This window comes from Homo sapiens, chromosome 17, assembly GCF_000001405.40.
Source record: "Homo sapiens chromosome 17, GRCh38.p14 Primary Assembly".
Classification (NCBI taxonomy): Eukaryota; Metazoa; Chordata; class Mammalia; order Primates; family Hominidae; genus Homo; species Homo sapiens.
In genome coordinates, this window is record NC_000017.11 from 19200845 (window position 1) to 19215496 (window position 14652).

Sequence of the window (14652 nt, forward strand, 5' to 3'; positions counted from 1 at the left end):
TTAGGCCACAGTGCCTCTCCAACCCCCAGAATGAAATCCAAGCCCCTTGGCCTGGTCCTCAAGTCTTTCTCTGACCTGGTCATCCCTGCCACCTGCCCTCTCTTCTCCAGCTACCTTGAATCACTTGAAGAATCTCCATGCCTCACAGCTTTCATTGCTGTTACTTCTGCCTTGAACACCCTTCCTCCTTGTCATTCCCACTTTTCAAGTCTCACATCAGCATGCACTGCCTCCTCCAGGAAGCCTCTCAGCACTCACCCCAGAGTCCGTCAGGCTCCTCCAGGTTCCTATGGCCTCCCAGCTGTCCCCTATTTGATCACAAGTGCTGGCTCTGGAAGAGTTGATAGAGGAGCAGGCGGCTGAGTGAGAGGCACCATGAGGAGTGGGCGGCTGAGTGAGAGGCACCGTCCTGCCCCATGGTTAGCGCAAAAATCGATAAACCAGCACCCAATGGGCACCTACTGTGTGCAAGGCACTGTTCTCAGTGCTGGGGCTACCCATGGAAGTAGACAGACAAAAATCCCCGCACTTACAGGCCGACTTTCTCCTGGGCAGGCAGACGATAAACACAGTAAGTAGGATGGAGAGCTGGGAGGTGGCCCAAGGAGAGCACATGAGGGAGGATGCTGGGCGTTCGTGCCATTTGCATGGCTATGACAGCGTGCTGCGGGGGCATCGATGTTCCCACCTCCCCATGAGGCCTCCCCTCGCATCCTCGGATACACACTGGCCCCTCCAGCTCCACTTCCCTTTTTTTTTTTTTTTTTTTTTTTTTTGAGATGAAGTCTTGCTCTGTCGCCCAGGCTGGAGTGCAGTGGCCCGATCTCGACTCACTGCAACCTCTGCCTCTCAGGTTCAAGCGATTCTCCTGCCTCAGCCTTCCAAGTAGCTGGGACTACAGGCGCCCACCACCATGCCCGGCTAATTTCTGTATTTTTAGTAGAGACAGGGTTTCACCGTGTTGGCCTGGCTGGTCTCCAACTCCTGACCTCAGGTGATCTGCCCGCCTCAGCCTCCCAAAGTGCTGGGATGACAGACGTGAGCCACCACGCCCGGCTTTTTTTTTTTTTTAGACTGAGTTTTGCTCTTGTTGCCCAGGCTGGAGTGCAATGGTGTGATCTCAGCTCACTGCAACCTCTGCCTCCCAGGTGCAAGTGACTCTCCTGCCTCAGCCTCCCGAGTAGCTGGGATTGCAGACATGCCCCACCATACCTGACTCATTTTTTATTTTTGGTAGAGACGGGGTTTCTCAGTGTTGGTCAGGCTGGTCTCAAACTCCTGACCTCAGGTGATCCGCCCGCCTCGACCTCCCAAAGTGCTGGGATTACAGGCGTGAGCCACCGCGCCCGGTCCGGCTTCACTTCTTTAAGCACTCACCCTGTGCTAGATAGACAACTGACATTCCGCGTTGTGTTTATTGTTTATTGCCCGTCCCCTCTATGTCAGCTTCCTGAGGCAGTGACTTTGCTCATCGTTGTCCCTGCGGTATCGCCGGTGCCCAACTCAGTATCTAGCACACGGTAAGTACTCAGGGAAGAGTTGTGGAGGATACATTTTGCGGAAGGGGAAACTGAATCTCAAGGAAGGAAGATGATTTGCTCGAGGCCACATGAAAATTAGAAGGCAGGAGAGGGATTTGAGCAGGGTCTGTGGCTCCGAGACCGAGGCTCCTCTCCGGGTGACTCTTCCCGGGATTCTGGCCTCATTTGGACCTCCAGGGCCCCGGACCTGAGCCTGGGGCAGAGCTGGGACCCAGGCGGGCGAGGCTGAGCGGCTAGCTGAGAGTCGCCAGCAGAGGGCGCTGTCTACACGTGTCCGGGCGCAAGGAGGCACCAGTAGGGCTGAGCCTGGGGAGACAGAGAGAGCGGCGGGTTGTGGGGTGGTGGGGCAGTGGGGCGGTGGGGCGGTGGGGCGGTGGGGCGACAGGATGGGGAGGAGACTGAGGCAGCGGGTGCTGTGGGAACCTACAGGAGAACTTTACCAGCTGGATAAAGGCAGGTTTCCCAGGAGTTTATTTTTTAACTGTATGCTGAAAAATAAATGGGAGGTGGCGTTTGAGAAAGCGAAGTGTGTTCCAGGTGGAGAGAACAGCATGTGTGAAGGCCCAGAGCCGGCCCCCGGATCTTTTCAGAATGCATCTTGGTCAGGGGAGGATGGTCGGCCAGGACACATGCATGGCCCCCTGGAGTCGTGCAGCGCTGGCCTTGGTGAGGCACAGATTGAGGCGTAAAGGAGGTGCTCCTGCCGAAATTTAATTATGCCCAGGCATGGTATCCCAGCATTTTGGGAGGCCAAGGTGAGAGGATTGCTTGAGGCCAGGAAGTTCGAGACCAGCCTGGGCAACATAGTGAGATGCGATCTCTACAAAAATTTAAAAAATTAGCCAGGTGTGGTGGCATACACTTGTAGTCCCAGCTACTCTGGAGGCTAAGGTGGAAGGATCACTTGAGCACAAGAAGTGGAGGCTGCAGTGAGCTGAAGGGGCCACTGCACTCCAGCCTGGGTGACAGAACAAGACCCTGTCTAAAAAACAAACAAAGAAGTAAATGCCCTAGTCTCAGGTATTCTGTTAGAGCAACACCAAACACACTAAGACAGGGAGGAAGGGGCTGGGTGGGCTCCCACAGTCCTGTCCAGCCACTGGGCCCGTGCAGCACAGCACTTCCCGGGTGCATCAGCATTGAGCCTTTCCTGAGTGCTGCTGCCATCTGTCCTCCAGTTATGAAGGGAACAAGAGACCCAGAAGGGGTGGGGCTGGCCCATGGTCTCCCTTGCTCACAGCCCTGGGCTGGAGCCCTTGTACAGAGCTGCCTCCTGGTCAGCCAAGAAAGGCTCACTGGAGGAGGAGGGGTAGGTCAGGCCTCTTCCTGGCCTCAGAACAGGATATGGGTGGGGGATGTTGGTGTCTCCTACACTGGGGCCTGCCCACCTTCTTCCCCCAATGTTCCTCCATCCTGCTCTGAGCGTTGTGCAGAGGACCCTGGACTGTGGGGTTCATCCTTTCCTAGGGAGCTTCCAAGGGCCCACACAGCCTGCTCCCCGCACCCCATGGAGGCGCAATGATAGCAGAATTACTGGCACTGTTAACCTGCTGGAGTGGGAACCTGGAGTCCTGGAAGGTCAGAGGTCAAGCTGGGGGGCTGGGGGCACTGCCTGCACTGGCCACTGCAGTGCAGAGAAGCTGAGGTGACCTCAATCTGAGAGACTGGAGACCAGGGTTGGGTGAGGGTGCATGGGAAACGGGTGGATGGGGACTGGGTGAATGGGTACTGAGTGGATGGGGACTGGGTGGATGGGGAGTGGGTGGATGGATAGTGGGTGGATGGGGACTGAGTGGATGGGGACTGGGTAGATGGATACTGGGTGGATGGGGACTGAGTGGATGGGTACTGGGTGGATGGGGACTGGGTGGGTGGGGATTGGTGGATGGGTACTGGGTGGATGGGGACTGGGTGGATGGGGACTGGGTGGGTGGGGATTGGTGGATGGGTACTGGGTGGATGGGGACTGGGTGGGTAGGGATTGGTGGATGGGGACTGGGTGGATGGGGATTGGTGGATGGGGATTGGTGGATGGGGACTGGGTGGGTGGGGACTGGGTGGATGGGGATTGGTGGATGGGGACTGGGTGGATGGGGACTGGGTGGATGGGGATTGGTGGATGGGGACTGGGTGGATGGGGACTGGGTAGATGGGGACTGGGTGGGTGGGGACTGGGTGGATGGGGATTGGTAGATGGGGACTGGGTGGATGGGGATTTGTGGATGGGGACTGGGTGGATGGGGATTGGTGGATGGGGACTGGGTGGATGGGAACTGGGTAGATGGATACTGGGTGGATTGGGACTGGTGGATGGGGACTGACTGGATGGAAGGAGGGCAGGGGGCCAGGTGGGGCCAGGCAGCCTGCCTGCTCTGCTGAGCAGCCTGGACCCAGGGGCTGCCTCTCCCAGGCCTCAGTCTCATCATCTATAGAATGGAGTTTCCAGAGATGGTCTGAGGCCCCTTCCAACTACCTGCAATGTGCTGGGTCCCAGGTCCACAGGAAGGACTGGTTCCTAGGGTCTTCCTTCCCAGCAAATTGTCCCTCCTGCTTCTGGCAGCAAAAGCTTCCCAGGATAATATTATCAATAGTAATATTGTCCCCCCTCCTCCTCTGCCTCTTCTTGTGTTTCTATATTCCAGGAACTTTCCTAAATGATTCATTTATTTATCAAATAATTTAATCCCCCACAATCCCATGAGTAAGAGACATTTACTGATCCCTTTTTATAGTTGAGGAAACAGACTCAGGGAGGGGAGGTGACTTGCCAGAGCCACACAGCTGGCAATCTGGCTCCTGTACTTCCGCATCCCTGAGGTCACTTTGGTGCCCCCGCCGCATGCCAGGGATAAAGAGACCCAAGACCTTACCGCAACTCACGGAGACCTATGTGGCTGCATGTGTCACCCCCAGGCAGAGTGACTTGAAGGGCCCAGGGAGGGGCCTCTTTTCATCCTGGGGACTGCCAAGCCCTGGAGTCCAGCTGGGCACGGGCAGTCAGCCTGGGCTGGGGGATGGTGCCTGGCTGCTAGGATGCTGGTCCTAGCATGGCAGGCATGGGTTAAAATCCCAGCTGTGCCACTTTCTGGTGTGTGATTCCAGGCACGTGACCTTTCTGCTTTGTGCCTCAGTTTCCCCTTCTGTGGAACGGGGATAATAGCAACACCTCTTTTATAAGGCAAGGTGGTTGTGAGGATTCAATGAAGCAATACACGAAAGCAGTTGCCTGCTTGGTCCCGTGGGTTCTCCATGGGATAGGGAACCCACGGAAGCCACGCCCAGCTAATTTTTTTGTATTTTTTTTAGTAGAGACAGGGTTTCACCATGTTGGCCAGGCTGGTTTCAAACTCCTGACCTTGAGTGATCCACCCACTTCAGCCTCCCAAAGTGCTAGGATTACAGGCCTGAGCCACGGCTCCTGGCTGTTTGTTTTTTGAGACAGGGTCTCACTCTGTCGCCCAGGCTTGAGGGCAGTGGTGCTGTCATAGCTCATTGCAGCCTTGATCTCCTGGGCTCAAGTGATCCTCCCACTTCAGCCTCCTGAGTAGCTGGGACTACACGTCCACACTACCATGCCTGGCTAGTTTTTTATTTTGTAGAGGGGGGATTTCACCATGTTACCATGGTCTTGAACTCCTAAGCTCAAGTGATCCACCCACCTCGGCCTCCCAAAGTGCCGGAATTATAGGCATGACCCACCATGCCCAGCCTGAATGGCCACTTTTGATGGAGCACTTACTATGTGTCGCCAAACCCCTCTGAGCCTCAGTTTCCTCCTTTGTAGGTGGGACTTGCTCAGGGACTCACTGCTGGCCTTGGGGAGCAGAGAACTCAGGTCTTTGTGATTCCGAAGTCCAGGTTCTTCCACCTGCAACTGCAGTTTCCAGAATTGGTCCCACCCCAGGAGGATCAGCCAGGTGATATGAGATCCTGCTCGGGGCTGTGAAAAGGGAATGGGAAGTCAGGGCACCCTGCCTGGTCCCACACTGATCCACCTGGGGTACCCATCTGAGAAATAGGGGTGGAGACCAGACTGGATGATGCAAATGGCATGTGGCATTGATCATTGGCCCCTCACGCTGGCCACGGCCTCTAGGTGGGCAGAGTGCACTCCCTGTCTCTTGACTCTGGGCTCAGCCATGTAACTTGCTTTGGTCAATGGGATAGCAGTGGCTATAACAAGACCAAAGGCTTGAGGTGCACTTCCACAGTGGAGCTGTCTTCTTGGCTTCTGCTGTGAGAAGATTGTCCCCCTGAATGGCTGCCGGCCCTTCAGCCTCGCCCCGCCAAGAGACACATGGAACAGCCAGAGCCCAGCCTAGAGCCTGTATCCCAGCCTAGCCTGAGGCAGAGCCACCCAGCCAAGACCAACTGACCTTCAGCTAACCTGCAGATGCATCAGGGGGAATTAAATGATTGTTCTAAACCACTGAGTTTTGGGGTGGTTTGTTATGTGGCATTATTGCAGTGATAGCTAATACAAGCCTGGTGTCAGTCTACAACTCTTGGACTCTGAGCTGCATTTACGTCCTGAATCCATCACTTACTGAGAATCAGGTCTTTATTATTATTATTAATTTTACTCCATCAATTTCAAGTTTTCCATAAGAGACATAGACAATGTAAAGGTCAAAGATTTTGGGCGACAAAACAGAGATAACTACAAAACCTCTGGCAAACAACAGTTGCTACCTTTGCACCAAGCTGAGCTCTGAGCTTCCTGACAGGCATGGCAAAGAGAGGAAGAACATGCACTACTCATATGCTGGGGAGCATTAAGGTCCTACGGGCTGCGTCCCATGGGCTGGCGACCTCCCACTGGGGCCCTCTTCACATTGCTGTGGGATCCCAGCATTTTCCCCAACTTTCCTCCTTCCAGACCCTGCTCCAGTATCACCCCAACTTGAAGCCTTCCTGGCTGTTAGAATTTCTTACAGCAGATTGCCTCTGTCACTCATTAGTTCATCCCGTATCTGCTGGCATCAACCTATGTTGTGCTTAGAAAAGACTTATAGAGGCCGGGCGTGGTGGCTCACGCCTGTAATCCCAGCACTTTGGGAGGCCGAGGTGGGTGGATCATGAAGTCAAGAGATTGAGACCATCCTGGCCAACATGGTGAAACCCTGTCTCTACTAAAAAAATGCAAAAAAATTAGCTGGGCGTGGTGGCGGGCGCCTGTAGTCCCAGCTACTTGGGAGGCTGAGGCAGGAGAATCACTTGAACCCGGGAGGCGGAGCTTGCAGTGAGCTGAGATTCTGCCACTGCACTCCAGCCTGGCGACAGAGCGAGACTCTGTCTCAGAAAAAAAAAAAAAAAAAGAAAGAAAGAAAGAAAAGAAAAGATGTATTGAGGCTGGGCGCAGTGGCTGAAGCCTGTAATCCACCAAGGTGGGCGGATTGCCTGAGCTGAGGAGTTTGAGACCAGTTTGGGCAACATGGTGAAACTCCCGTCTCTACTAAAATACAAAAGAAATTAGCCAGGCATGGTGGCATCCGCCTGCAGTCCCAGCTACTCGGGAGGCTGAGGCAGGAGAATGGCTCGAACCCAGGAGGTGGAGGTTGCAATGAGCCGAGATTGCGCCACTGCATTCCAGCCTGGGCGACAGAGCATGACTCCATCTCTAAAAAAAAAAGAAAAGAAAAGAAAGGACTTGGCTGGGCACGGTGGCTCACGCCTGTAATCCCAGCACGTCGGGAAGCCAAGGTGGGTGGATCACGAGGTCAGGAGATCGAGACCATCCTGGCTAACACAGTGAAACCCCGTCTGTATTAAAAATACAAAAAAATTAGCCAGGTGTGGTGACGGGTGCCTGTAGTCCCAGCTGCTCGGGAGGCTGAGGCAGGAGAATGGCGTGACCCCAGGAGGTGGAGCTTGCAGTGAGCCGAGATTGCACCACTGCACTCCAGCCTGGGCGACAGGGCGAGACTCTGTCTCAAAAAAAAAAAGAAAAGAAAAGAAAAGAAAAGACTTATCGAGTGAATAATGAATAAATGAATGAATGAGGAAATGAATTTACAGATGGGGAAGTGAATTAATGAAGTTAAAAGCAAGTACATGGAAGAAAGTGTTTGTTTACCTGAGTCTGATTAGGGGAAGGAGCCCTGAGTGGAGGCACTGTCGTTTGAGGTGGTCTTGCCTATACCTTTGTAAAGAATGCTTGAGAAGTTTCTTGAGGGGTTCTGGGAGCTGAGGATCACATAAGAATTCTAGCCGAGAACAATTTGTCAGCTGTCACAGTGCAGAGCATGATGGTTGAACTCAAATGCCGCCAAGCAGATGACAGGGACAGTTTCCACCTAGTTCAGGAACATAAGCTAAGGCACTTCAGGGAGGTTTTTTTGTTTGTTTGTTTTTAATTTTTTTGAGACAGGGCCTCACTCCGTCACCCAGGCTGACTGCAGTTGTGCGGTCTTGATTCACTGCAGCCTGGAACTCTTGGGCTCAAGGGATTCTCCCACCTCAGCCTCCTCAGTAGCTGGGATCACAGGCTTGCACCACTATGCCGGCTAATTTTTTAATTTTTTTCCAGAGAGGGGGTCTTGCTTTGTTGCCCAGGCTGCTCTCAAACTCCTGGCCTCAAGTGGTCCTTCCATCTCGGCCTCCTAAAGTGCTCAGATTACAGGCGTGAGCCACCGTGCCCAGCTGGGGAGTATTTTTATGTCCCCAAAATGCAGGATCTGCCTCCAGTTGATTTATCTTTAGTGAATAAGGATGAAAATGCTATCTATTTCCTGGAAAATCCTCTTGGCCTTCAACCAAAAATGGTTAAAACAGATCTTGAAGAAGAGCTAGTTGAGTGGGGCAAAATGGGAGCCTATGGTCACGAAGAAGGCAGCATCCTTGGGATACAGAGATGAGAGTATTGTAGGCCTACAGAAGGACTATAGGAGCCTACGAGAAAGAAATAGCCCTAGTGAATGCGCTGACTGTTAATCTACATCTTCTACTGTTACCCAGGGTCTCACTCTGTTGTCCAGGCTGGAGTGCAGTGGCACAATCACAGCTCACTGCAGCCTCAACTTCCCGGGCTCAGGTGATCCTCCCATCTTAACCTCCCAGGTAGCTGGGACTACAGGCACACACCACCACGCCAGACTAATTTTTGTATTTTTTTGTAGAGATGGGGTCTTGCCATGTTGCACAGGCTGGTCTCGAACTCCTTGGATTACAGGTGTGAGCCACCGCGCCCAGCCTTAGTCCAGTTATTGTTTAAGCCTATACCAAATGGTATAAAATTCTTATAGAAGCCAAAGCTTTCTCTTTTAATCATTATACTGTTGAGTCACAGCTACGACTCCATGGAGTTAACATTGAGGAAAGGGGATTATAAAGCCAAGACGGGGGAGGAAACCTTAAGAATAAAGGATATTGGCCGGGCGCGGTGGCTCATGCCTGTAATCCCAGCACTTTGAGAGGCCGAGGCCGGTGGATCACCAGAGGTCAGGAGTTTGAGACCAGCCTGGCCAACACGGTGAAACCCCGTCTCTACTAAAAGTACAAAAATTAGCTGGGCGTCGTGGCAGGCGCCTGTAATCCCAGCTACTCTGGAGGCTGAGGCAAGAGAATCGCTTGAACCCGGGAGGTGGAGGTTGCAGTGAGCTGAGATCGTGCCATTGCACTCCAGCCTGGGGGACAAGAGAGAGATTTCGTCTCAAAAAAAAAAAAAAAAGAAAAATTAGCTGGGTGTGGTGATGCATGCCTGTAATCCCAGCTACCCAGGAGGCTGAGACAGGAGAATCACTTGAACCCAGGAGGTGGAGGTTGCAGTGAGTCAAGATAGCGTCACTGCACTCCAGCCTGGGTGACACAGCAGGACTCCATCTGAGAAAAATAAATAAATAAATAAAATAAAATAAAGGATATCCCTGAAGCAATTGAGAAGGGAGGAGGCTCAATTACAGCAATCCTGTTCAGTGGGCTGCATTTTTATACTAGGCAGCTCTTTAATATACCTGCTACCACGAAAGCTGGACAAGTGAAGGGATGTTTTGCTGGCTTGATCTAGCATGTACAGTTGGAAATGCTGAACTCACTTACGTGACAGAAGAGTTGACTTTGCCCACTGGTGTTCCCACAATAATTTGAATGCAGGAGCAGGAGGTCTGGCAGGTACTTTTTCCATGAAAAGCATGCCCGTATGATTAAAGCTGTGCTGCTGGGGTGGTTTGGCTGTGAACTCAGCACCAGATTTGAGATGGATAACCAACTGCAGTTAATCCCTGGGGTTAGTGGATTCCAAATTTCAAATCCTCCCATTTTGTTGGTCTGTTTCTTACAGTTTAGAGATCTTTAGGCAGGCAGCGATTAAAGCATTGTGGAGAAAATCTATTTTGCTGACTGGTTATCTGGAATACCTGATCTAGCACTGCTATGGCAAAAATAAAGCAGAATCTAAGAAGCCAATGGTGACCTGGAGGTGACCATTACTCCATCCCATATGGAGGATCAGGGCTGCCAGCTGACACTAACATTTTTCTGTTCCAAAGAAAGATGTTTTCCAAGAGGTAGAAAAAAGAGGAGTGGTTTATGACAAGTGGAATCCAAATGTCATTCAAGTGGCTCCAGTTCCTTTCTATCATTCTTTCCATGATGTTTATAAATTTATCAATCTGGGCTGGGTGTGGTGGCTCACACCTGTAATCTCACCACTTTGGGAGGCCGAAGCCAGAGGATCACTTGAGCCTAGGAGTTTGAGAACAGCATGGACAACATAGTGAGACCCTGTTTCTACAAAAAAACAAACAAAAAAAAGTATTTTTAATTAGCCAGGCATGGTGGCACACACCTATAGTCCCTGCTACCCAGAAGGCTGAGGCAGGAGGATCACTTGATCCCAGGAGATCAAGGCTGCAGTGAGCTGTGATGGCACCACTGCACTCCAGCCTGGGCAAGAGAGTGAGACCCTGTCTCCAAAAAAAAAAAAAAAAAATTTATCAGTCTGCTCACTTCTGTACTTCACTCTGCAGAAACAAAAATTAGCAGTGTTTTCTAGAACAATTTAAGCAAATTATACTGAAAGCTGATGTGTGTTTTTTTTTTTTACCATTATTCAATTTTTAGTTATTGAAAGTATTTTACAATTGATTGCATGTAGCTGGCAGTAAGTAATATACTTTACAGAAAAGAAAAATAAGTAAATGAAACAACAAGTAAGACTAAGGAGTGATGGGGGGGCTAAGGAAATTGCTTTTATTTTATACAAGTTTATTGAAAACCACCTGTACTTATCCCTGAGAGAGGATGCAGATATGGCCCCTGCTTATTAGAAGCACAGGTCTGAGGGGGGGAGGCAGATCCAGATCCAGACCCAGCCAATCATGGCTGAAGGTGATCAGTGCTGTGACAAAGGAGTCCCAGGGACTGAAGGGCCCAAGAAAGCCCCAGTCCATCCTGGAGGTCAGGGAAAGCTCCCTGGGGATGGAAAGAAATGGGTTGTATAGGAATTTGCCAGGAGAAGAGGTGGGAGAAGATGGAGCAACATGAGCAAAGGGTGAGGAATGAGAAGAACTAAGCAAATGTGCAGGAGAAATAAATGGAGCTTCTAGAAATTTAACACCTGGTAACATATTAAAAACTCAATGGAGAGTTTAAACGACAGTTTAGACAAAGCTGAATAGAGAATTCATGATCTGGAAGATGGATTTGAAGAAATTATCCAGAATTCAACCCAGAAAGAAAAATAAATGGAAAATGGGGGCAGGGGGGAAAGAAGAATTCAACCTGAGAAAGCTGAAGGAGGAGGAGGAGGAGGAGGAGGAGGAGGAGGTGGCAGCAGTAGCAAGGAGAAGGAGAAGAAGAAGGAGGAGGAGAAGGAGAAGGATGAGGAGGAGGGAGAGGAGAAGAAGAAGAAGACGAAGAAGAAGAGGAGGAGGAGGAAGAGGAGGAGGAGAAAACAAAGAAAAAAAGTGGTTAGGAGCCAGGGAGAATACAACAGGAAGAGCTAACATAGGTAGCAGTTCCAGACAGAGAAGGGAAAACGAGACAAATTCAATATTTGAAAACATGAAGTCTGACTTTTTTTCCATATCTAATAAGCACCACCAAATGCATAGATTCTAGAGATCCAATGAATCCCAAGCAAGATAGGTAGGAAGAAATTCATGTCTGGACATATTGTAGTGAAAATATAGAACACCAAAGTCAAAGAGGAGATCCTAGAAGCAACCAGAGAGAAAGCAGAGGAGATTCTTTAAGTGTTTCAGTGTTGCAACAGTGAGATATTCAAAGGCAGGGAGTATAGGGAAATGGGGCTCTAGTAGAGCCAATTATTAAGGGTGATTTTGAGCCAGAGGAGTGATACGATGAGATCTGTGTTTCAGAATCTGAGTATGGAAAGCCAGGTGCGCTGCTCAAACCTGTAATCTCAGCACTTTGGGGGGCCAAGGTGTGTGGATCGCTTGAGACCAGGAGTTTGAGACCAGCCTGGGCAACAGAGTAAGAGACGCTGTTTCTTTTTCTTTTCTTTTCTTTTTTTTTTTTTTGAGACAGAGTTTCACTCTGTCACCCAGGCTGGAGTGCAGTGGCGTGATCTCGGCTCGCTGCAACCTCCGCCTCCCGGGTTCAAACGATTCTCCTGTCTCAGCCTCCCAAGTAGCTGGGACTACAGGTGCCCACAACCAGACCTGGCTAATTTTTGTAGTTTTAGTAGAGACAGGGTTTCATATTGGCCAGGCTGGTCTCGAACTCCTGACCTTGTGATCCACCTGCCTTGGCCTCCCAAAGTGCTGGAATTACAGGTGTGAGCCACCGCGCCTGGCAAGAGATGCTGTTTCTACAAAAAAATAAACAAAAAAAATTAGCTGAGCATGGTGGCATGTACCTATAGTCCCAGCCATTTGAGAGGCTGAGGTAGGAGGATCACCTGGGCCCGGGGGCTCAAGGCTACAGTGTTCACACCACTGCACTCCAGCCTAGTGTGCAGACTGGAGTGATGGAGTGAGACTCTGTCTCAAAAAAAAAAAAAAAAAGAAAGAAAAGAAAAGAAAGATGCGGTTCTACTCAGCGTCATCTGATTGCTACCCTGTAAAAGTGCAGCCCCAGAGTTCTGAGCTTCTGATATCCCAAAAGAAATGGAAACAGGTGGCCCCTGGATGAAGGAGGAGGTCAGGGGTGGCTGGAAGGCAGGTCCTGGGGAGTGTAGGGGCTGGAAGAAGACGGAGGGGGAAGGTGTGGTAGACACTATTATAATAGCTGACTGATCCTTGTGTACCATTCCCAATTCCCCTCTTCCCTGCTGCTTTCCACTGTGGAGGCTGGAAAAGAGAAACTACTTACCTTCTCAGCCTTTGTTGCAGCTGGGAGTGACCATGTGACACAGTTTTGGCCAATGACATCTAAGGAGTCTCATTAGATCTCATTATGTGTGTGTGGCAGGGGTGGGGGTGGGGGGTGAGGGGGGCGGGGTGCCTGGGAAATTATTGACGAAAGTGACAAACGCTTTCAATTAACCCTGAAAGTAACCATTCCTTTTCCTTTCTGTCTTAAATGCGGAGGCAGATGCAACGCCAGGAGCAGCATCAGCCACGCTGTAAACAAGGGGGAAACGCCAAGCGCATTACAGAGGACGTCAGCCCTGCCATCACTGGGCTGGGGAAACAATGCCAGCCATGGCTGGTCTCCGGGTTCACAGTGATAGGGGAAATAAACCCTTATTTGTCTAAGCCATTGTGATTTGTTTTCCTTTTTTTTTTTTTTCAGCCACTTTACAGAAGAGGGATATTTGTTAAAATTCAGAAGGAGAGAGAAAAGGAGAGACTGCGCAGGTTGAAACGGTGGTGGGAAAATGTCAAAGAGAGAGAGACTTTGTTTGCAGGTGGCAGGGGCCTGAGCACGATTTTGTCACAATAGCAGATTGAGCACAGGATGTGCCAGGCACAGCGCTTTATACTGATCGACGCGTTTTAAAAATATTTTGTAGGCCGGGCGCGGTGGTTCACGCCTGTAATCCCAGCACTTTGGGAGGCTCAGGCGGGCGGATCACGAGGTCAGGAAATTGTGACCATCCTGGCTAACACGGTGAAACCCCGTCTCTAGCAAAAATACAAAAAATTAGCCAGGCGTGGTGGCACGCGCCTGTAGTCCCAGCTACTCGAGAGGATGAGGCAGGAGAATCGCTTGAACTCGGGAGACAGAGGTTGCAGTGAGCTGAGATCGCTCACTTGAGATCGCGCCACTGCACTCCAGCCTGGGCGATAGAGCGAGACTCCGGCTAAAAAACAAACAAACAAACAACAAAAAAAAACAAATTTGTAGAGACGGGGGGGGGGGGGGTCTCACAATGTTGACCAGGCTAGTCTCGAACTCCTGACCTCAAGCCGTCCTCAGGCCCGGCCTCCCAAAGTGCTAGGATTAAGGCCTGAGCCACCGCGCCCAGCAGAACGCATTTAGTTCTCACTGCAACTTTCTGAGGCAGGCTGTGCTGTTATCCCCACCACACAGAGGGAACTGCGGTGCTCTTCTTAGACAAGAAAAGCGCCAGCCAGCGGGTGGTGAGGCAGGATTTGAACTCGAGCACACGGAGCCCATCCAGTCCCGATGGACTGACTCCTCCGTCAGCGGAGGAGGGAGCGAGTCGTTAGGTGAACAGTGAGTGTCTCAGGGTCCCGAGTGTGAGGTGGGGCGTCGGATGTGTCGCGGGGTCCTGCCTGGCCGTGTCCGGGCCGAGGCAGGGGAGGACGATCCGGGGCAGGGCAGCCAGCACTGCTCTCCCTGAGGGCCGGGGCTGTGCGCGCTGCGCGGTCTGTGCGTGGGATACGCCGGGCCCCGCCTCGCCTTCCCGCCCCGTCTCCCAGTCCTCCGCCCTGGCCCTGCCATAGGGAGCCCGGCCCGGGGGTTCTGCGGCTGCCGCAGCCCTGACAGGGGCCGGGGACGTGGAGGGAGCGGGCCGGCGCTGGCGCAGCCGCAGAACTGTGCAGGAGAGACTGTGACCCCGGTGGCCCTCTCTGAGTCTTGGTTTCTTCCTCCGTGAAATGGGGCTTGAGCAGCGCCTCCTCGACGGGGAAGAGGGCCCGCAGAGACAGCGCGCCAGAGAGTCCAGGGCAGCGCAGGGAAGGAGCCTGTGGATCCCTCCCAGACCCATCCCACCGCCGATCCCGCCCAGGGGCGGCCCAGA

General features: G+C 51.8%; 1 pseudogene, besides 2 other annotated features; it reads left to right on the top strand.

The window, feature by feature from the left end:
• On the top strand, positions 8187–9733 carry KYNUP3 (kynureninase pseudogene 3; annotated as a pseudogene).
• Positions 13587–14115: an enhancer, noted in NCBI's record as "H3K27ac-H3K4me1 hESC enhancer chr17:19117744-19118272 (GRCh37/hg19 assembly coordinates)". NCBI's record gives its function as "activates a minimal SCP1, AML or CMV promoter by ChIP-STARR-seq in primed H9 embryonic stem cells {active_cell/tissue: H9 hESC(primed)}" and the evidence as "EXISTENCE:reporter gene assay evidence [ECO:0000049][PMID:30033119]".
• Positions 14116–14645: an enhancer, noted in NCBI's record as "H3K27ac-H3K4me1 hESC enhancer chr17:19118273-19118802 (GRCh37/hg19 assembly coordinates)". NCBI's record gives its function as "activates a minimal SCP1, AML or CMV promoter by ChIP-STARR-seq in primed H9 embryonic stem cells {active_cell/tissue: H9 hESC(primed)}" and the evidence as "EXISTENCE:reporter gene assay evidence [ECO:0000049][PMID:30033119]".